The 24,150-nt window shown below is 40.2% G+C and overlaps 1 protein-coding gene across 11 annotated transcripts in view; it reads right to left on the minus strand.

The window, feature by feature from the left end:
- The window catches only part of DCX (doublecortin), a 118,414-nt gene that overhangs the window by 36,435 nt on the left and 57,829 nt on the right, over positions 1 to 24,150 (minus strand). For 6 of the 11 annotated variants that reach the window (NM_001369373.1, NM_178153.3, NM_001369372.1 and 3 more), the window contains exons 4-5: positions 2,838 to 2,940; positions 706 to 828 (exon numbers count right to left, since the gene is read on the minus strand). In NM_001369373.1, the coding sequence (NP_001356302.1) occupies positions 706 to 828; positions 2,838 to 2,940 (226 nt within the window). Of the gene's footprint in view, positions 1 to 690; positions 829 to 2,837; positions 2,941 to 24,150 lie in introns of all 11 variants that reach the window. The other 5 variants (NM_001410715.1, NM_178152.3, NM_001195553.2 and 2 more) reach the window with 1 other exon arrangement.

Below are 24,150 nucleotides of genomic sequence, written 5' to 3' on the forward strand. Positions count from 1 at the left end.
ATTTGGCACAAGCTCCTAATCTTGCCACAGACTGACTGGTAATAAATAGTTCATGGGTTGGCAGTGATCAATAGACGACATGTTTTAGATAACTCACTATCCACTAAATAGAATCTTCTATGGCAAATCTCTTTGTTTTCTTTTAGAACCTGGTCTGTGCTTTACTTTCCGGTTGTGAGGTTTATACAATTTATCTTGTCCCCCTATTTATATGGCATATATATGTAGTGTACTTGTTTCCCTTTTTGTTTTGGCTTCTAATTACTTCAGAGTCAAATTTGAAGCTCAAGTGAGTCAACTATGTTGACACTTTGGGGTGTTGTTTTTTATATTCTTTTTCTTGATTCTGATTTTTAATTTCAGGTTTATGGTTAATTTGATTATTCCATTGAATATGTTTTTGCCACATGATGTTGAAGATGATGAAAATGATGACAACCATGAAAATAAACATTACAGCAAGCATAGACAATGGGCCAGGCTTCTGGTTTGCATCCATTTGAATGGAATAATGGTTGTAGCTGTGCCTCCATGACTCCAAACAAGTTTGACTGTTTTAGTCCCTGAATTGATAGAATAGGGTTTCATGGAGACACAGTGGTGTTCATGAGGAACTGATTCCTCTGCATGCAGAAAGTATTGTCCTCCATAAATGAAGTCAGCGTGCACAGTTAGGAAAAGAGCACTCACCGTCTTGGTCGTTACCTGAGTCAGCTGGAGACTTGCTTCGGCGCATAGGACCAGGGCTCTTGGCTGAAGTCTTCTGAGGTGTTGGGGATGCCTTTGGGCCAGCTGTGGCTGATGGGTTTCCCTTCATGACTCGGCATTCTGGGGCAAAAGGACACAGACAGCTTAGTAGAGGATAAAACAGGCTCAGCATGTTATCAGCCTCTGGAAACCGCAATAACCATCACAGGCCAAAGGACCTAAATGGGTCAGGACTACAATGTGGTCCTTATTATTAGTAGGAGCCATGGTTCTGGGGAGGGAGGCATTAGGGAAACCTTCAAAAGCCACCTGGGCTAAGCTAGGTGTTTAAGCCCCTGAATTACGAAAACAAGGGCAAGAGTCCATAAACAGGTCAAGTAGGCAATTAAATAGTCAATTCAATCATTTATGGACAAGCTAGCTATGTCTCAGAATAGCACCTATTGATATAATGTTTAATTAATTTCCCTGAATTAGAGATTAACAACTCAGAGGTTACAGCTACACAGATGAAACATCCATTGAGTAATTTGAAGGAGAGGTAGAGAGCTACCACTTACTATTACATGCCACACGTTGATAGACACATGATGGATATCATGTCACTTTATATAAATAAGCACTATGACCACCACCATCTTGCATTTATCAAGTTCTTTTCGATTTCCCATGTATGTTATTGCCATCCCTTATGGGGGGTTAATGAATAAATGGGCCAGCAGTGACTCTGCCACTAAAAACTTAAGAAAGCTTGCTGGTGTGTGGGAGAGTCTGCCAAATGTTCTTGTATTTGCCCTAGCCTCAGTCTGACACCTTTGGAACACCCTTTCTATGCAGGTCACTCAGCATCCCCTTCTATGGTCATTTTGGGCACTAATAGTGCTAATTTATTAGAAGGATTATTATTCTCATTTTGCTGATGAGAGTACAAAAAACTTAACCCCTTTGCCTAGGGCCACAAAACAAGAAATTAGTAAAACAAGGTCTAAAAGTCAAGTCCCCTGAGTTCCAGTTTAGTGCTCTTTCTACTACAGTTTTTCCAACCTTGTGCTGTGATGCACAAAGGGGAATCAAACAGCAGAGTAGAGGATATAGTCTCTCCTTTCCTTTAAACACTTTCTTGTTGCCTCCTACTTAAAGGTGCATTGAAATATAAATTAAACAGAAAGATTAGAGGAGCTTTTCTGGTAAATTGAATATTTTAGGAAACTGAGTTAAGCAGAAAGCCCCCTTTTGTTTGTTTCACTTCTTGTTTTGGTTGGTGACCTTTAGTGATCACTGTCCAGAGCTGAAGATACAGAAGGTATAGGAAATTGGACATAACCTGAGGTTTGTTTAGCTATTCTATAGTCATTGCTTCTTCCTAAAGGGAACACAGCAGAAATGCCACCTCTTACAGGGTTCTTGTCACTTGAGTTGTTTATAAAGTCTATATTAGCAAAATTCCCTTTGATTTTTTTTCACACTTTGCTTCTCCTAAATGGGAAATATGCTCTGAATGTATCTTTCTATCAGCATCACATTCTACCCTTGTTGCTGCGTGAGCTAATTAACCTTTAATGTATACCTGGAGCTTGGACTCAAACCAAGGGAGATGGGAAGACGATTAGATCCTTCTTATTATTAACAACCCTCTGTAAACCTGAATCACAAGGCAGACGAATGGGGCAGCAAGTCTGATGGTGTGAAAAGGGTTTGACACTAAGAATACTGTGGAAAAATCTCTCTAAATTGGAACCATAATCACAAGCTAAATAGTTGGAGGACGTTGAATGGAGAAAAAAGGATATGTACAATATCCAAGTTCTGACTGAAAATATTCCTTCCTGTGGTCTGATTGTGCCTGTTATCCCATGTGACACAATATATGGTTCAAGAAATATGGTCACTATTGGGGCAGATAGTGAGTTTTATTGAGTTTGGAGCCTGGGACTCTGGGATATCCAGTCAGTCTTTCAGTCTTACATGGGTCATGACCCATGTATCCAAATATACAGGAGAAAGACCAACATTATAAGCCCTTGAAGGATCATGCATAGATGTTTTCCACACCATACAAACCCATGGAAATCCTAAAGGATAGAAGGGGAGAGAACAATGGAGCAATAAAACCCAGTGGTTATGCTTACCATTTTCATCCAGAGAAAAATCATCCTGAGCATAGCGAAATTTTTCAGGACCACAGGCAATAAACACATCATCATCACCAAAGAAATCATGGAGACAAGTTACCTATGGAGAAAGCAGAAACACTGATTGTATATGATGGTCCTGTGACAATGAACCTCACACTACACTGACAAGGAGAAAAGCTTCCCATCTAGGCCATCATCTTCAGCTCCCAGGAGTTTTCTCTTTCTTAAAACACCTACCACATTCATAGTCTGAATCATGACCCCTAGTGAGGGATGATATACTGAGTACCATTGTCTATCCATGTTTCATGTATGGTACTTTCAATTGCATCAAGAGTAAGACTGAGACCATGTCCAAATGGAATGCCGTTTTCTGAAGAAAAGTCAACCAGCAGATGGCCCTATAAATGTCACCTTTTCTCAGAGCCTCAAAGACGGGAAGCTCCTGGCCCAACTCTAGGGCAAGGGACTGGGCCAAGGAAGATGAGAAAAATCTTCTGCAGCCTGACTGTAGCTGACCCAGAAGTGGAAATGTGCTGCTTCATCTGAATGAGTTCTAAAAGAAGGACATCATTTCTTAACTGCTTTGGACACACAAAAATTGAACTTTTGCTAAAAGCTGGCCGAAAACTTGGTAGTGGCCCAGAATACCATTTCTTCCTGTGAAACCAGAAGAGGAAAACTTCATCATGAGCAATGGGTCCCAATAGGCCTGAGTTTCTACTGGTAGAGCCATGTTCCCAGGACCCTCATGCCTGCTAGCATCCTAAGCATTACTGCTTCTCAACAACAGACAGACAGTCTCCCCAACCCCCTTTCTGCACAAAGAGATGAGGGTCCCTGGGAAAGTATGCTGCTTCCTGCAGTCTCCCCACTTCTCAGCTTTCCTAATTACATCTGTTAATTAGTCCAGCACATCAGGGAAACCCCTGGAGGAACCATAAAGTCAAAACATGCTTATACCACCTCTTAGTTTGAAAGTGTTCAAAGCCTCTAATTGTTCTAAGTTTCCCATTCAAGCTGCCAGCAATGGCTTTCCAAAGGCATGGTGCTCACAAACTAACAACAGCTTGCTGGGTGCAGAGAGCAATATGTTACATTAGAAAAATATTTATATTAATAACATCACCCCCACCTAAGGTTAACTCAATCCCTGTTTTCCCAATCAAAACGATTGCAAGCCTTACACAAAAGGAGATATACTTAAAGATTATCCCCATTGTGTCAGCCTCCCAATCATCCAAGAGATGCCCAGAGAAGAGAAGGTGACTTGAAGGACTGCAGGGTCACTCTCATTAAGCCTCTTTCCAGTCCTGGGTCTTGACCTCATCAAATTGGCCAACACCTTTCTTCGGCCCACTTGTCCTTCATCCATTCATTCCATGATCACAGAATGACAATCAGAGCTACCAACTAACTGAATGCTTACTCTGTGACAGGCACTCTGGTAAGTACTTCCAAATCTGTCATCTCATTTTACCCTCACAAGAAACTCTAGAAGTCAGTATTTATTGTCATTACTATTTTAGGCTTGAGAAAACTGTGACCCAGAGACAATAAGTAAGTTTTCCAGGTGGAGAGCAATGAAGCCAAATAAACACAGATCTATCTAACTTCAAAGCCTGTCCTTTTAACCACTTGGCAATACAAAGCACTTACATATAGATCAGTCACTGGGGAGACAAAGATGAATAAGACTCAGGCCATGACTTCATGGAGCTCACAGTCTGATGAGGTGAGATACATCGAAATAGAGCATTTCAATTTAGTGTCATGAGTACTAGGATGGGATTATCTGTTGGTGCTGTGAGAGCTATTGATTACCATGTCCAAATGACCCTAGTCACTGGTTAGCACTGTTAGTTCAATAGGCATCCTGCATATTGTCCTAGTAGTGGATCCAATGACAGAGGCTACATGGTTTTGAGCCTAGCTGCAGACCTCCTACCAATATCTTGGACCTTGGCTCAATAAAACACAGAGCCCTTAACTCTGATACACCAAATATCTCTGAACTATTTACCTGCCGCCACATCCTTGACCCTGAAGATCTCTGCCATATCTTCCTATTTGAGGCTGCCTTTGACCCTGACTAGCTGACTTTATTTTTGGTCATGAGTCAGGAATACCTCACCTGTGAGTGTCCCTCTGTTAGTGGTCTCAAGGATTTGGCACTTTGTTTCAAGACCTGCCTGTATTTTCATGAGGACTCACTTAGTTCTCCCCACCGGATCACAGGTTTCTGAATCTAACAGCCAAATTCATACCTTCCTCTATATCTTCCTGTGGTTCCTTGTAGAGAGCTTATCACATAGTGAAAATTTACTTAGGGCTGTTTCTGCCTCAGCTGCATGCAAAGAAGGTAAGAAACAGGAATATTCAGGGGCTTTGTAAGGATACACAAAGACAGAAAAGTAGGAATAAGAAAGATGAAATCAATTGTGGCAGACAACGGAGATTAGCATTTAGAGACTTTAAAAGGCAACACAAATATACAAATTTAGGAACAAGAAAAGTAGAAATAATGTGAATTCAGAAACTATTCTTCACGTAACTATGCTAATTAGTTTGAAAACAAATGAAATGGATGATTTTTAAAGAAAAGTCTAGGCCAGGTGCAGTGACTTACGCCTGTAATCCCAGCACTTTGGGAGGCCAAGGCAGGTGGATCACGATGTCAGGAGATTGAGACCATCCTGGCCAACATGGTGAAACCCCATCTTTACTAAAATACAAAAAACTAGTCCGGCGTGGTGGTGCACACCTGTAATCCCAGCTACTGGGGGTGCGGGGGAGCTGAGGCAGGAGAATTGCTCGAACCTGGGAGGCGGAGATTGCAGTGAGCCGAGATCACACCACTGCACTCCAGCCCGGCAACAGAGAGAGACTCCGAAAAAAAAGAAAGAAAGAAAGAAAGAAAAGTCTCAATAATTAAATTAGTTCAAAAAGAAATAGAAAATTGAAACTAGCTAATAGCTGTAAAAAAAAATTAGTAAATGCTTCAAACAGCAACCTTCCCTGCAAAGTCACCAGAGCATTCATTTTGGAGGTATTTGTGGAAATTGCTTCCTAAGAAGAAAACCTAAAAGCTCCAAAGCAGCCATCTCAGACACATGCCATGATATCCTATTGTAGGACAATAATGTCTTACATATTGCTCTAGGGGTTGCTGTTACAATGATCCACCCTCCTCCAACCACAAGCCTCTCTACCCACACCCAGGCTTTGGGAAAAGCCTTTGGATAACCCCTCTTTGGGGGAGCCTCTAAGAAAGGCAAAGTCCCCTGTGCTTCTGACAGACTCACAATGGTGTGGCTGGCTTCAAACACAATCATGCTACAATCCAGCTGTTCAGCATCAGATGTCTTTGTGTGATCCCATTCCACATTTTACTGGCTCCCAAATGCAGACAAATGCACTTTGTGCATGTGGATACCCAGCTTTTCTAAATGTCTTGGCTATTGAGACACGGCAGCCCCCCATCTTTGTTACAGGGTTGGGAAAATAGAATGCTCTCCATCTTAAATAAGAAGAACTCAAAGCGCAGAGAGTCAAAGTGTCCCGAAGATACACAGCTGGCTCATGGCAGAGTTGGGACTAGCATTCAGGTGTTCTGCTTCAATTCAGGACAAAATAACTCAATTGCCTGAAAGAACATATTATCCTAAAGCACTGACTTCAAAGGCATATCTATAGCCTAGACAGGAAAATCTATATTTGTCCTAATCAATGCCTGCTATGCATTAGAACATCTTACTGGATTGAAAAAATAAGCTTCTTTAAGGATATGTTTAATCTATGGACAACAAAACTCCTATTCATTACTGTAACAATAACCAAGTATATGGTGGAGAAGGAGGACAAGGAGAGGGAGAAGGAGGGAGAAAAGAAAGAAGAAGAAGAAGGAAAAGAAGGAGGAGGAGAAGAAGAATGGAATATAAGAAATAATTCTCAAATGAAACTCACACTCACTTAACACCTGCTTTTTAAAATTCTATGGAGGTAATGTGATACAAAGTCCACCTTAGCTAACATTACACATGTATGATTTTCCAAGTTAGTTTTTTTGAGATATAATTTCCATTACAAGGGGGCAACAGAAATAGTAAATATAATAATCATCATAATATCACTTACAGCATTACAGCATCCTCAGGGATCAAAGGTCTTGCTGACATCAGCTTCAGTATGAATCATACTTGGATTTTTAAGTCAGGGAAGAGAACACAAAGGCATGACACCTACCATTATAATTAATCAACTTCCAGCACAAAATCAATAAAATCAACTCACATTAACATTGAACCATTAACTCAATGCTCTTCCTTTGAAAAAAAAAACCAGCAGGTGTTGGGGGAAGGGAAGCCAGCTTGGTTGTGCATTAGCATGAATGATAGATTATATGGATAGTCCAGTGGCTTAAATGTCAAATTACACATGGGGAAATGGAGACAACAGATCACGGTGTCAGAGAAGTTTGAGTCTATTAGCTGCAAATAGAAACTTCACTGTGTGACTTGATTTAAGCTTGATTAGATTCTCCATCCACATATTATAGATGCTGGCAGTTCGTTTTTGAACATGCCTGGTTCTAGTAGATTCTACATTTCACTTACCTAACTATTCAGAAATAAATGTTTTCTCGAGAAGTAAGGTCTTGCTCACATTATCTATGATGCTCACTTTTAACTTGTAAAATACTTTCTTCAAAAGTTCAATTCTACTAATATTGATACATTAAGCACTTACTAGGGCAAAGGAACTCTGTAAGAGATACAGAAATGTGTAATAAAGGGCCATGTCTTCAAAGAGTTGACAACATAATAAGCAAGTCAGGATTACACAAATAATTGGAATACAAGGCAGGCTGTTGTTAGCACTACTATAAAGATGCAAAGAACAAGGGAAGCACAGAAGATAAAGAGAACAATTCTAATTATGAACTGGGGAAGGCTTCACAGAGAAAAACTGAGTCTTGAAGGATGAGTGGGATATAGGTTGATGGAGGTATTCCTGGCAGAGGTGATTGCAAAACAAAGGTAGGTACCTTTTTCTTAACAGCCCTAGGAAGAGTTGCATCCTGTTGACTACAGTAAGGCATTCTGATTTTCCAAAGCTGTGCAGAGCACAATTAATTGCCTAGACTCACCTGCCAACCTTCTGCACAGGCAAAACATAGAGTTATCTATTGGTGGAATTCAGGGTGAAGAGGAGGGCAGAGAGTGTCTATGAGGAGGAGTGGCCAGAGTGGTAAAGAAGAGGGAAACACCGTGGCAAGGAACACAAACCACACTGATTTTTCAGTCTTGCCAACAGTGTGCCTTGCCTATCAAGAATGGCAGGGAAATTTTGCAAAATGAGTTAATAAAATCTCAGTAAACATAACAGATGAGGCTTTTTCTAAATGTTACTGCTACTCGTATTTTGGAACATTTCCCACCTACCAGCCCTGGACCAGCTCCAGTCAGAGGTTGACACAGAGTTGGCTTGGTGAACTGCAGCAACCTTTCGGAAACAATCCTGACTTTTTTTTTTTTTTTTATCAAACTCATGTTTCTGGGGTTATCTTGAAGCCTTACTTGGGGGCTTTTTATGACAACATTTTTGCCTGCGCAACAAGTTCCTTGGTTCTGTAGTGCCTTTTTTTTTTTTTTGCACAGTTCTCTTTATTCAATGCCCTGAACTTCCCTAAAATCTGTGCTGAAATAATAACAATGGCACTTACATTTGTATGGTATTTTTACTGTTTTTGAAACACTTCCACATTTATGGTATTTTATGTTTTCTTTCATACTTGTAATTCTCCTCTCAACTCAATCCGATCAGGCTTCCATTCCCATTGCTCCACCAAGGCTGCTCTTGTTAAGGCCAACAATGGCTTCCATGTTGTCAAATCCAATGGTCCTTCCCTGGCCTCATCTTACTCAACCCATCAGCAACACTGGATATAAGTTGATCGAGTTCTTTTCCCTAAATACTTTTCCTTCTTTGCTTCTGTGAGATCACCATCTTCTGAATTTCCTTCTGCTTCAATCTCTTTTGCTAGATTCTTTTCCTTTTTTAGACTTCCAGTATTTGAAAGCCCCAGTGCTCAGGTCTTACATCTCTTTTATTTTTTATTTACATATTTTTACTAGGTGATCATATCCAGTTCCAAGGCTTTACACACTGCTATGGTTTCAATGTTTGTCCCCTCCAAAACTCATGTTGAAACTTACTCCCCAATGTGGCATTATTGAAAGGTGGGGTTTTTTAGAGATGATTGGGTCATGAAGGCTCTGGATGAATGGGTTAATGGATTAATGAGTTACCATGGGAGGAGAACTGATGGCTTTTATAAGAAGAGAAAGTGAGACCTGAGCTAGCATGTTCAGTCCCCTTACCATGTGATGCCCTATACCACCTCAGAACTCTGCAGAAAGTCCCTACCAGCAAGAAGGCCCTCACCAGATTTGGCCCCTTGACCTTGAACTTCACAGCCTCCAGGACTGTAAGAAATAAATTATGTTTCTTTATATATTACCCAGCTTCAGGTAATCTGTTATAAACAACAGACAATTAACTAAGACACATGCCATATATATACTGAATACTCACACATTGATATCTCCAGGTCCTTCTTACCCCTGTACTCTAGACATGTATTTCCATCCAACTGCCTGTTCAATATCTCCACTTGCTTGTCTGATAGGCATCCCATGTTTAATATGCCCAAGACTAAACTGTTATTTCTCTCCTCCATATTTTACTTCCCTTCAGCTTTCCTTATCTTAAAGAAAAGGCACAATTCTCACAATTACCCAAACCAGAAACCTGAGAGTCATTTTTCATTAGGAGCCACTTTTCTCCCTCTCCCTGGTCACGGTACTAGTCTAAAATACACTACAACATAGCCTCATAACTGTTCTCTAGGCAGCATGCCCTCCCCATGCCCCACAAATACCTATTCTGTGTTGCATAAAGCAGTCAGAGTAGTATTTTACAATTTTAATCAGGAATATCACTCTTCTGTTTAAAACCCTTGAAAGTCTGCCCATCACTGATAGAATAAAATCCAAACATTTTAGCTCCCTGGGTCGGGGAAGGGCAGCACTCATCTCTATAGCTCCAGGCCACACTTTTCCCTTGCTGGAGCCAGGGAGCTGTACTGCTTGGTCCCAAGACATGTCCACAACAGCCCAGCACACTGGCTGTGGCAGACTGTGGCCAGAGTGCCTCTTCAGGCCTGACCCTGACTCATCCTTCCTCACTGGGTGGGGATTCCCTGCAGGAACTTTATTAACTCTAGTCAGAGGCTCAGGGGCAGAACTCTGATCTCCGTGGGCCTGAACCTGTAGGAGTAAGGGGGTCTGCAGTCTCTGTAGACCAGCAGACTTAGCCTTTCTTCCTGGTAGTTCTGAGGAATCAGGGCAGCCCAGATGAGTGGGTTTTCCCCCAGTGAGGCACACCCCTTCCACCAAGGGACAAAGTGCTTCATTAAATGGGTCCTGTTCCCCATGCCACTCGACTGAATGAGACCCTTCAACAGGGGTTGTCAGACAAACTCATACAGGAGTGATCCTACTGGCATCAGGTTTGTGCCCCTCGAGGTCAGAGATACCAGAAGAAGGAAGAGACACCCATCTTTGCTGTTCTCCAGCCTCCTTGAGTGACATCTCTAGGCATGGAGTGAATCAGATGAATAGGGCCTGAAGTGAACCCCCAGCAAAAGACAGCTACCCTACAGAAGAGGGACCTGACCATTGAAAGAAAAACAAACAAACAGAAAGCAACAACAACAGCATCAACAACAACCAAAGAGCCCCCACAAAAACCCCATGTAAAGGTCAGCAGCCTCAAAGATCGAAACTAGACAAACTCATGAAGATGAGAAAGAATCAATGAAAAAATGCTGAAAACCCAAAAGCCCAGAGTTCCTCTTCTCCAAATGTCTCTTCAAGGGCACAGAATTAGAAGGAGGGTAAGACTGACGAATTGACAGAAGTAGGCTTCAGAAGATGGGTAATGAAAAAACTATGCTGAGCTAAAGGAACATGTTCTAACCCAATGCAAAGAAGCTAAGAACCTTGATTAAAGGTTAGAGGAGCTGCTAACTAGAATAGTCAGTTTAGAGAGGAACATAAATGACCTGATGGAGCTGAACAACACAGCACGAGAACTTCATGAAGCATACACAAATATTAATAGCCGACTCGACCAAGCAGAAGAAAGGATATCAGAGTTTGAAGACCACCTTACTGAAATAAGGCATGCAGAAAAGACTAGAGGAAAAAGAATGAAAAGGAATGAACAAACCCTCCAAGAAATATGGGACTTCGCAAAAAGACTGAACCTACGATTGATTGCAGTACATAAAGGAGACAGGGAGAATGGAAACAAGCCAAAAAACACACTTCAGGGTATTATCCAGGAGAACTTCCCCAACCTAGCAAGACAGGCCAATATGCAAATTCAGGAAATACAGAGAACACCACTAAGATACTCCATGAGAAGATCAACCCCAAGACACATAATCATCAGATTCTCCAAGGTCTAAATGAAGGAAAAAATGTTAAGGGCAGCCAGAGAGAAAGGCCAGGTCACCTACAGAGGTAAGCCCATCAGACTAACAGCAGACTTCTCAGCAGAAACTCTACAAGCCAGAAGAGATTGGGGGCCAATATTTAACATTCTTATAGAAAAGAATTTTCCACTGAGAATTTCACATCCAGTCAAACTAAGCTTCATAAGCAAAGGAGAAATAAAATCATTTCCAGACAAACAAATGCCGAGGGATTTCATTACCACTAGGCCTGCCTTGAAAGAGCTCCTGAAAGAAGCACTAAATATGGAAGGGAAAAACTGGTACCAGCCACTGCAAAAACACACCAAAATATAAAAACCAATGACACTATGAAGAAACTGCATCAAATAGTGTGCAAAATAACCAGATAGCATCATTATGACAGGACCAGATTAACAGATATCAATACTAACCTTACATTTAAATGGACTAAATGCCCCAATTAAAACAACAGACTGGAAAATTGGATAAAGAGTCAAGACCTATTGGTGTGCTATATTCAGGAGATGCATCTCACGTGCAAAGACACACACCAGCTCAAAATAAAGGGATGGAGGAAAATTTACCAAGCAAAAGGAAAGCAAAAAAAAAAAAAAAAAAGCAGGAGTTGCAATCCCAGTCTCTGACCAAACAGACTTTAAACCAACAAAGATCAAAAAAAGACAAAGAAGAACATTACATAATTGTAAAGGGAACAATTCAACAAGAAGAGCTAACTATTATATATATATATATATATATATATATATATATATATATATATCCATCCAATACAGGAGCATCCATATTCAAAAAACAAGTTCTTAGAGGCCTACAAAGAGACTTAGACTCCCACACAATAATAGTGGGAGACTTTAACACCCCACTGTCAATATTAGACATATCAACGAGACAGAAAATTAACAAGGATATTCCAGACTTTAACTCAGCTCTGGATCAAGTGGACCTAAAAGACATCTACAGAACTCTCCACCCCAAATCAAGAGAATACACATTCTTCTCAGGACCACATGGCACTTATTCTAAAATCAACCACATAATTGGAAGTAAAACACTCCTCAGCAAAAGCAAAAGAACTGAAATCCTAACAAACGGTCTCTCAGACCACAGTGCAATCAAATTAGAACTCAGGATTAAGAAACTCACTCAAAACCACACAATTACATGGAAATTGAACAAACTGCTCCTGAATGACTCCTGGTTAAATAATGAAATTAAGGCAGAAATCAAGAAGTTCTTTGAAATCAAAGAGAACAAAGAGACTACGTACCAGAATCCCTAGGACACAGCTAAAGCAGTGTTAAGAGGGAAATTTACAGCACTAAATGCCCACATCAGAAACCTAGAAAGATATCAAATTGACAACCTAACATCACAATTAAAAGAGCTAGAGAGGCAAGAGCAAACTAATCCAAAAGCTAGCAGAAGACAAGAAATAACTAAGATCAGAGCAGAACTGAAGGAGATAAGCACACAAACTCCCCCCCACCCCCAAAATCAGTGAATCCAACAGCTGGGTTTTTTTTTTTTTAATTAACAAAATAGATAAACAGCTAGCTAGCCTAATAAAAAGAAAAGAGAGAAGAACAAAATAGACACAATAAAAATGATAAAGGGGATATCACCACTGACCTCACAGAAATACAAACTATCATCAGAGAATACTATAAACACCTCTATGCCAATAAACTAGAAAATCTAGAAGAAATGGATAAATTCTTGGATACATACACCCTCCCAAGACTAAACCAGGAAGAAATTGAATCCCTGACTGGACCAATAACAAGTTCTGAAATTGAGTCAGTAATTAATAGCCTACCAACCAAGAAAAAAAAAAAAAAAAGCCCAGGACCAGACAGATTCACAGCCAAATTCTACAAGAGGTACAAAGAGAAGCTGGTACCATTATTTCTGAAACAATTCCAAACGACTGAAAAGGAGGGACTCCTCCCTACCTCATTTCATGAAGCCAGCATCATCCTGATACCAAAACCAGGAAGAAATACAACAAAAAATAGAAAATTTCAGGCCAATATCCCTGATGAACATAGATGCAAAAATTTTCAATAAAATACTGGCAGGCTGGGTGCGGCAGCTCACTCTTGTAATCCCAGCACTTTGGGAGGCTAAGGTGGTCAGATCACCTGAGGTCAGGAGTTTGAGACCAGCCTGGCCAACATGGTGAAACCCCATCTCTACTAAAAATACAAAAATGAGCTGGGCATGGTGGTGGGCACCTGTAGTCCCAGCTACTCAGGAGTCTGAGGCAGGAGAATGGCTTGAATCTGGGAGGCAGAGGTTGCAGTGAGTGGAGATCGCGCCACTGCACTGCAACCTGGGCGACAGAACGAGACTCCATCTCAAAAAAAATAAAATAACTGGTGAACCGAATCAAGTAGCACATCAAAAAAACTTATGCATCATGAACAAGTCGGCTTCATCCTGGGATGCAAGGCTGGTTGAACATATGCAAATCAATAAACATAATCTATCACATAAACAGAACCAAAGACAAAAACCACATGATTATCTCAATAGATGCAGAAAAGGCTTTGATAAAATTCAACATTCCTTCATGTTAAAATCTCTCAATAAACTAGGTATTGATGGAACATATCTCAAAATAGTGAGAACAATTTATAACAAACCCACAGCCAATATCAAATTAAATGGGCAAAAGCTAGAAGCATTTCTTTTGAAAACTGGTACAAGACAAGGATGCCCTCTCTTACCATTCCTATTCATCATAGTATTAGAAGTTCTGGCCAGGGCAATCAGTCAAGAGAAATAAATAAACGGTATTCAAGTAGGAAGAGAGGAAGTAAAATTGTATATGTTTGTAGATGACATGATTTTACATTTAGAAAACCCCATCATCTCAGCCCCAAAACTCCTTAAACTAACAAGCAATTTCAGCAAAATCTCAGGATACAAAATCAATGTGCAAAAATCACAAGCATTCCTTTACACCAACAATAGACAAGCAGAGAACAAAATCATGAATGAACTCCCACTCACAATCACTACAAAAAAAGAATAAAATACCTAGGAATACAGCTAACAAGGGATATGAAGGACCTCTTCAAGGAGAACTACAAACCACTGCTCAAGGAAATAAGAGAGGACACAAACAAATGGAAAAACATTCCATCCTCATGGATAGGAAAAATCAATATCGTGAAAATGGCCATACTGCCCAAAGTAATTTATATATTCAGTGCTATTCCCATCAAACTACCATTGACATTCTTCACAGAATTAGAAAAAAAACACTTTAAATTTCATATGGAATCAAAGAAGACCCTGTATAGCCAAGACAATCTTAAGCAAAAGAACAAAGCTGGAGGCATCACGCTACTTGACTTCAAACTATACTAGAAGGCTACAGTAACCAAAACAGCACGTTACTGGTAGCAAAACAGTCATATAGACTGATGGAACAAAACAGCAACCTCAGACATAATACCACACATCTACAACCATCTGATCTTCGACAAACCTGACAAAAACAAACAATGGGGAAAGCATCTCCTATTCAATAAATGGTACTGGGAAAAACTGGCTAGCCATATGTAGAAAACTGAAACTGGACCCCTTCCTTATATCTTACACAAAAATTAACTCAATATGGATTAAAAACTTAAATGTAAAACCCAAAACCATAAGAACCCTAGAAGAAAACCTAGGCAATACCATTCAGGACATAGGCACGGACAAAGACTTCACGACAAAAACGTCAAAAGCAATTGCAACAAAAGCCAAAAATGACAAATAGGTTCTAATTAAACTAAAGAGCTTCTGCAAGGCAAAAGAAACTATCATCAGAGTGAACAGGCAACCTACAGAATGGGAGAAAATTTTTGCAATGTACCCATCTGACAAAGGTCTAATATCCAGAATTTACAAGGAACTTAAACAAAATTTACAAGAAAAAAACAAACAACCCCATGAAAAAGTGGGCAAAGGATATGAACAGACTTCTCAGAATAAGACGTTTACATGGCCAACAAACATAGGAAAAAAAGCTCAACATCACTGATCATTAGAGAAATGCAAATCAAAACCACAATGAGATACTATCTCACGCCAGTCATGCGTCTTTATAGTAGAATGATTTATAATCCTTTGGGTATATACCCAGTAATGGGATTGCTGGGTCAAATGGTATTTCTAGTTGTAGATCCCTGAGGAATCGCCCTACTGCCTTCCACAATGGTTGAACTAATTTACATTCCCACCAACAGCGTAAAAGCATTCCCATTTCTCCACAGCCTTGCCAGCATCTATTGTTTCTTGACTTTTTAATAATCACCATTCTGACTGGTGTGAGATAGCAACTCGTTGTGGTTTTGATTTGCATTACTCTAATGATCAGTGATGTTGAGCTTTTTTTCCTATGTTTGCTGGCCACATAATGTCTTATTTTGAGAAGTCTGTTCATATCCCTTGCCCACTTTTTCATGGGTTTTTTTTTTTCTTGTAAATTTGTTTAAGTTTCTTGTAATTCTGGATATTAGACCTTTGTCAGATGGGTACATTGCAAAATTTTTCTCCCATTCTGTAGGTTGCCTGTTCACTCTGATGATAGCTTCTTTTGCTGTGCAGAAGCTCTTTAGTTTAATTAGAACCCATTTGTCAATTTTGGCTTTTGTGTTCAATCTGGAATGTTTCATAGACTGTCAGAGCTAGAAGAGACAACAGATGAAAAGGATAAACAAAATGTGGTATATCCATACAATGGAATATTATTCAGCTACAAAAAAGAATGCAGTTCTGATATATGTTACAACATGGACTTTGAAAACATTATGTTAAGTGAAATAACCAGACAGAAAAGGACAAAGATTGTGTGATTCCACTTGTATGAAATATCTAGAAGAGACAAATTCATAGGATCAAAGACTGGATTAGAAGTTGCCAGCAGCTAGTGGGAGGAAGGAATAAGAAGTCATTGCTTAATGGTAACAGTTGGTTGTCATGTTAAAAGTTTAAAAAGTTCTAGAACTAGATACTGATCGAACGATACTGTGAATGTAACTAAAGCCACTGAATTGTACACATAAGATTATTAAAATTAATTGCACACATTAAAATGGCAAAATTTATGTTACACATATTTGACCAAATTAAAAACATTAATAATATAATATACCCAAACCATTGAATTATACACTTTAAATGGGTGAATTATACATTATGTGAATAATATAACAATAAAACTGTTAAAAAAAGAAATGTAAAAATGATTATTAAAATTTATTCAGAATTTACTTATATTGTAGCCAAAAGGCCTTTTAAAATACTTATTCTGACATATTACAGTAACAGAAGTCAAAGTTCACCTATATGGAGATGTCTTACCTATTGCCCAATATAAACTAGAACCACCACCACCATAAGAATTTAGGCTCCACAAGAGTAGAGACCTCACCTGTTTGTTCACCATTCTATCCCTACTAAGTTAAAGTACAAAAAAACACATATTTAAAAATTATTATTAGTAGTAGTAACAAGCAAGAGTAAGAAGAATCTAAAACCCATAATTAAATCTTAGTTTCATAATTAAGGATATTGCAATATAATAAGGTTATCTGTGGACTACTAGTGATCACTGTCCTCTGCATCTTATGGAAGAGTAAGTCATAAGAGATGAAACTGACTTGCTTACTTAATTCTTGATCTTTTTGTTTTCTGATTATTTGCTTAAAAACAACACAATGTCACCCCCCTTCCCAACTAAAATCCATTTCTTTGAGTGCCTGGATCATTATATGATGAGTTTTGTCTTTTCTCCCTCTTTCACCCATCAAAGCATCCATTTCTTGAAGACACCGATTTCCTTTGGCTTGCCTTGTGGGGCTTAGCTACAGAAAATGACCCATCCCAGGCCCTTAAGAAAAAGTGTTGACTAGCTGATTGTGAAGGGAAAAATTGATATTCTTTTCCTACTATCTGTATCATTTTCTGGGAATTCCCAGCCCCTGTGCAGCCAGTTTACCTATTCCTATAGCAAGTCATATTGAGACTGACGCCCGTCTGATCCTCCAGCCACTAGATCTGACTGAATTTCTCTCCACTCTTTCCTGGTGAAGAGTGACTGGTCCTCAGAAGCTCTTTACATTGGTCTTTTGGCTGTAAAGTGCCATAATAAACTTTTCGAATAGATCGTGTTCTGTCAACTCATTTTTCCACTGATCTTCTTAGCCCCATAGCCAATGGTGACTCTCCTCTCCCCATTTTAGAATTTCCCCCAGGCAACCCAGCTATATTAAATCTGGGCTGTCAGATCTCAGCTGAGATATTGGTCTTCAAATTTATTGTTTTCAACCTTTAAAATAGTTTATCTTTGAATGGTGAAGGGCCATAATGATCCTACATAGCTTTTGCTGTTTTACATGTGTCAGGTGCCCTTATCTTCATTACCTCATTTGGTTCATTGGCCTCATTTTTAATAAATGAAATGTCAAGGTCCATGAAGGTTCAGTGACCTGTACAAGGTCACATTGCTGGCTAATGACAGAGCTGATACTAGAACTCAAGATTGTCTAATTTATTCTGACACTATAGGTACCTAAGGTATACTGCAAAGGCATTTCCTAGACAGGGGAGACCCAGGTAAGGAAAAACAGCAGGAGACTCTGAGTAGCATGAAAATACCAGTGGTATGGGAAAGAAGGGCACAGAGGGGAGATGTGAAGGAATAAGACTTTCTACCCTATTTTACCTGGAGCTAGTGGTGATTTAATAACCTGAGCTAGGCAATACCAGCCTGATTGGAAGGCTGGCAGCCCCTCGATGCTCAAGGGTGTTCTTTCCTTATTTTGTCTTTGCCATTTTTCCAAGAGTCTGTGTCAGCTCCCACTGGGGGCCTCTCAAGGATGAGAACAGCTGCAGAGGCGCTGGAGTTGGGCTGTTGAGTACATGCCCAGGACTGACACCTGCCCTTCCACAAGGCCCTGGGGACAAATTGGCTCAGAGAAACAGAGACGAGACAGAACTCCATTCATCAGAAAGAACTGGGGTGGAAAAACCCTGCTTGATCCCTTGGCACCATTAAGCCCTAAGGTTGGCTCTGGGCCCCACACAACTCTAGGTTCTGTTTAGTAAGGTCAATTAAAATAAGAGAGTGTGCTTGTAGGGCCCATTACAGTTATCTGTTGCATTTAACAGTTTCCTGGTGTCTGCTAGACACAAAGCATGAGAGGGATATTGCTTTTGAATCACGTAGGGGAAGGAAAGGTTTGTTAAAAAAAAAAAAAGAAAAGAAAAGAAAAGAAAAGAAAGTTATTGTCTACCTGCATTCTAGGTTACAACTTGACACTGGCTCACTGCTTTCTCTCTGGGTCTGTTTCTTCTGCTATAAGGAGAAGGTGCTGATCTAGAGCCTTTTGAGATCTATATCTTTTTTGTGTCACAAGCCCTTTAGAGAATTTGATGAAAGCTGTAGGTCTTCTCCCTAGAAAAAATGCATATATGCCCATAGATAGCTAGTTTTCTATATAGTTTAGGGGGGTTAAGGATTCCTTTGAAGCTTGTCTATAGATCCCAAATTAAGAGTCTCTAGACTAGTTGATTTCTGAGGTCTCTTCTAGCTCAGACAGTCTATGAAACATTCCAGGTTGGACACAGTTAATGAGCAGTGACACCCGGGCCAGAATGCTGGCAGCTGTCGTGGAATCCCAGAGGCTTAACTGTACCCCCCTTCCCAGGCTTCCTGAGACTCCAGTCCAAAGGAAGCAAAAGGATATAAGCTCATTCTCTGCAAACTGAGTCCAAGGGAAGCAAAGGAGTGCAAACTGATTTACGGCAAACCAAAGACTAGAGTGTGCATCAGACCCATTGCCTCCCAGGTTGCTAGAATTTAGGAAGGATGCTAACTTTTCAGGAGAGTGTAGGCATGAGAGGCATGACCTCTAAATGTTCCTTAGTGGTTGGTTGAGGACAGGAAAAAAAAAGCATGACTGCCCAGTTGGTAAGGGACATACAGCTTGATTATAGATATTCTGAAATTGTTACTTAGGAGCTGACCTCAACATGGCTGGACAGAATACTAATGACCATAAACATACTGCATTTCCTTACATAATATCCCCTACTCTGTAAGTGTATATTTTGCTATGCAAGAAGAAGGTTAGGAGAGAAGAAAGAACGAGTTCTCATGGGTACATCAACCATCAGTCAGTGTACCAGTAGGAAATATATGACACTCCTAGAGTGGATAAATTGAGTGGAGTTTACTAAAGGGGATTGATTACAAAAGTATGGGCAGGGTATAGAAGAACCACAGAGGGCACTGTAGAATTTTAGGAATAGTAATAGTGAAGTTCATTACCACTCTTAGGCCTCAAGGAGAGAGGGGAGGTATCAGGAACCAGAACTCAGAGGGAAGGAGAGAGAATGACAATTAGATATAGAGAACACTCTGATAAGAGCTATGACCTTCAGTCAAGGAATGCCCAGCAACCTCTCAGGCAGGGTGCCTGGAAATAGATAGCCTAATCTCACATTTCTCCTTGTTAGTGCTCCCCATTGGCTAAATACAACTGGAATCCAAAAAACAAGGGAGCCTGTTGATAAGAGTCAGCTTCCCAGGACACAGAGCAGGGTGGAATAGAGTAGAGAGTAGAAAGGAGATCTGGAGGGGAAGTCCTGGAGAGTAGATCTGCCACTGTAAGCAAAAGGAAGGAGCTGTTGTTATAGCCTAGAATATAGGAAATGTGTGAATAGTGATTAAGCAATAATAATAATACCATTTTGCATTTGTAAAAGCCTTTACGCATTTTGTGCTTCAGTCACCCCATTGTCTCCTCTGAACCATATAGTTACCATGTAGGCAAACAGGTAATTTATTTTATGGATAACGAAACTGAGGGTCAACCAAGTTTAGGTGATTTGCAAAGACCAAATGTCTACAAAAAAAGGACATGGACTAGAACTTGGGTTTGAGCTCCTGGTCTAGTACAATTTCCACTATATCATGTTATCTCTTCTGTACCCTTAGTCCACAGAGCTATTCTGATAGTTCTTCAGCGATCTCCTGCTTCTTCTGACACACAGTCAATTCCACCACAAGAGCAACGATAAGAGGGAAAATTATATACACTTCTTCCTCTCATTTTTGGGAAAGGGTTAGTGTATTAGTCCATTCTCACACTGCTAATAAAGACATACTGGAGACTGGGCAATTATAAAAGAAAGAGGTTTAACTGACTCACAGCTTCACATGGCTGGGGAGGCCTTACAATCATGGTGGAAGGCAAGGATGAGCAAGTCACATCTTACTTACATGGTGGCAGAGAAGAGGGAATGAGAACCAAGTGAAAGGGGTTTCCCCCTTATAAAACCATCAGATCTTGTGAGACTTATTCACTACCATGAGAACAGTATGGAGGAAACCGCCCCCATGATTCAATTATCTCCCACTGAGTCCCTTCCACAACATGTGGGAATTATGGGAGCTACAATTCAAGATGGGATTTGGGTGAGGACACAGCCAAACCATACCAGTCAGTATGGGGGCTCATGAGGGAACAAGCTGAGTTGGAAGATAGGTAAGAGGATACAGTGTTCTTTGCACTCACTATTTTCCAGAACAGAGGTTCTTAGACCCAGTTTTTGCCAAACGACTTTAGTCAAGATTCCCTATCCTGTCTCCCTCTTCTCTCTTCTGGCCTCTGGGTGTTACACCTTATCGACTATATACTTCCAGTGTAACAGATATGATTGAATGGAAGTAGGGAAATAAATGAAAATGAAGAAATGACAAGCTCAAGGTAAACAATAAGAAAACAGAAACAGTATATCTTTTAGAATTCAACTGCAAAAAGTAAAAAGTATTTACACATGTGTTCCAGTTAGCATGTAAACCATCTATTAAGTGCTCAGAAATTGAAACCATGAGCAGATTCACCACTGAGTTTGCAATTAAGTGGAATTTGGGGAAAATTCTAAGTGTTCAATGTTATTAGGAATTTCAACAGTCTAGTGGAAGTGATGAGCCAAGCACTAGGTATGAAAAAGCATTTGGGAAGTATGAGATTGCAGATGCCTATAGCTGCTACCTTAGTTTTCCTGGTTGGGAGATAATTTAGTAAATACAGAAGGCTCAAGGCCAATAAGCTTTCAGAATTCACAGCTTCTGTCACTCAGACTGGAGTGCACTGGTGCGATCATATCTCACTGCAACCTCTGCCTCCTGGGCTCAAGCCATCCTCCCCACTTCAGCCTCCTGTGTAGCTGGGACTACAGGCGCAAGTCACCAGGCCCGGCTAATTTTTGTATTTTTCGTAGAAATGGGGTTTTGCTATGTTGCCCAGGCTGGTCTGGAACTCCTGGGCTCATGCAGTCCGCCTGCTTCAGCCTCTCAAAGTGTGGGGATTACAGGAGGGAGCCACTGTGCCTGGCCTGCAATGGTTCTTAACCAGGGGTGATTTGCCTCCCTCCAATAACCTCCTCCCAGAAAATATTGGACAATATCTGGAGACATTTTTGGTTGTAACAACTCGGAGGAGGGGTGCCACTGACATCTAAGACATAGAGGCCTGGAATGCTGCTAAATGTCCTACAATGCACAGGACAGCTCCCTACAACAAAGAATTATCTGGGCCAGAATGTCAATAGTGCCAGGGTTGAGAAGCCCTGTCTAGGGCATTTGATGCCTGTCAAGATATTTACCTTAGCCCTGGCCATTATACTCTTCACTCTCCACCTCTGACGATGGCTTTATTGCTTCCACCTATGAATCCCAGGCTGACCACTCCAAGAACCAGCTCCATCTCAGCAGGCTTCTGGGCTAAGGCAGAATTTATCTCATTTCCCAGGGTGTTGCTGCTGTTACTATTGTTCATTGCTATTTAGTTTTTGACCCTTGGTCTTGCGTTAACCCTAATAGAAGCTTATTTCCTAGTTGCTAACTGTTGTATGGTTAATGACTCAGCCTGCCTAGACCTCTGGTTTTTGCAAGCTGTTCTAGTCCTGGCATCCTTCCCAGGCTCTGAGGGCCAACTTCATCTATGGTTTCAGTACAACACTGCTGTACTCATTTCATTAGGGAACACCAAATAGGGTTTGGGCTGGCAATTACACTAGACCTGCTGCCTTTTGAATCTCTGTGAGAAAGGTGCCAGCCCCAGGGAAGAAACAACTCAATGAACTATCAGCTAGCACAAGAGTTGCTCCTCCTGTGACTGTCAGTGAAAGCTGAGGCAGACAGACAGACAGAGAGAGAGAGAGAGAGAGAGAGAGAGAGAGAGAGAGGAGGCAATGCCTTCTGGGTAACAAATTTCAGAAGACTTTTGTGTCAACTGGCTTAAGTAGAGGTAGAAAGATGTCCTACACAATGGTGTTTTAGAGGCAATTAAGCATCAACTCTGTACTGAAGAAGGAAAAAAAGAGAGTAAATTGAAACCCCAAAGTTGAGATAATGTCTGGCTTGGCCATTTCTCAAGTGTCAGCTTCATATGCCTAGAAAGGAGTATAAAGGAGGAATTTGGAACAACAACAAAAAGTATGACCATGAAGGCAGTAGAACCAACTGCTGTTTTTCAAACAAATCTCCATCCCTGAATTTTGAGACTTAGGTAGTATTGTAGAAAGGGACTGGCTTCTAGTCCTTGTTCAGTCACACAATGCTGTGTGATCATAGACTTAAACGGTGTATGCCTCAGGTTCCTGACCTGAAAAATGGAGTGAATACTACTTTGAGTGCTTCATAATTTTTTGTTAAATTTTAGAACAAAAAGAAATAGTGCATATAAAATGCTTTGAAAATCATTAGTGCTATATGAATACAGATTATAATTAACCATCACAAAAGATGTGTGACCTGAGGGAAAATGAATTTGGATAAGATGAGAACAAGAAAGGCTGGCAAAGTGTATCTTGTTTTGGCAAAAAGAAAAAAAGATAGAGAGAAATCTACTGTCTTTTTCTCTGTCCCTGTGAAGCACTTTTCACATTCCTGGCATAGTAGTAACTATCCTTTTTATTATTATTTTATAAAATCTATATGATAAAGGACTCCCCAACATTATTAATACACTCTAGAATTGGTCTTTTATTCAAGGAAGTTGTCTTAATTCATTCACTTACTGAGTAGCATTCATTCAGTGCTCATGATAATTCAGCCACCACGGTAACTGTTAAGGGCCCAGAGAAGAACATGGCATGCCTTCTGTCCTCAAAGAGCCATTAGTCTGGTGGAAGTTTCTCATTTGAGTCACTTCTGTTACAATTTAATTCTCTTCTTGCATCTGACCTACATTTAATAGTCTAAAAAAATTGACTTTTGGACCTTGTTTATACAATCATCGAAACTGCTTGGCTACTCCAAGTTTTGACTCATACCAGTTACTTTTTGAGCCTGTTAAGGATTGTGTACTTACACAATTAAGCTCGTTTCCCTTAAGAATGGAGAAAAAGATCCAAGTCCAATATATTGGCAATGAACAGTAACTGGTTACTGGGAAAGGATGAGTCAACTGCAAATTTTTGATGAGCTAATTCATGCTAGAATGTTCAGTTATGGTTCTCTCTAGGCATTCCCCCAACCCTGGGTAAGATGTGGATACCTAGAAAGGACCAAAACTGAATCTGAGAGAATAAATCTCTAATAGCGGACATTCTCATATCCCTTAAAATCTAGTGAAATATATCGAAGGCCTTTGATTGTCCTTTTGAATCACCCTTTGTATGTAAACCATCTTTAGAATTCTGTCTCTATCTCCCTATAGTTCATCTTCCCAT

The sequence above is a fragment of the Homo sapiens genome, chromosome X (assembly GCF_000001405.40).
Source record: "Homo sapiens chromosome X, GRCh38.p14 Primary Assembly".
Lineage (NCBI taxonomy): Eukaryota > Metazoa > Chordata > Mammalia > Primates > Hominidae > Homo > Homo sapiens.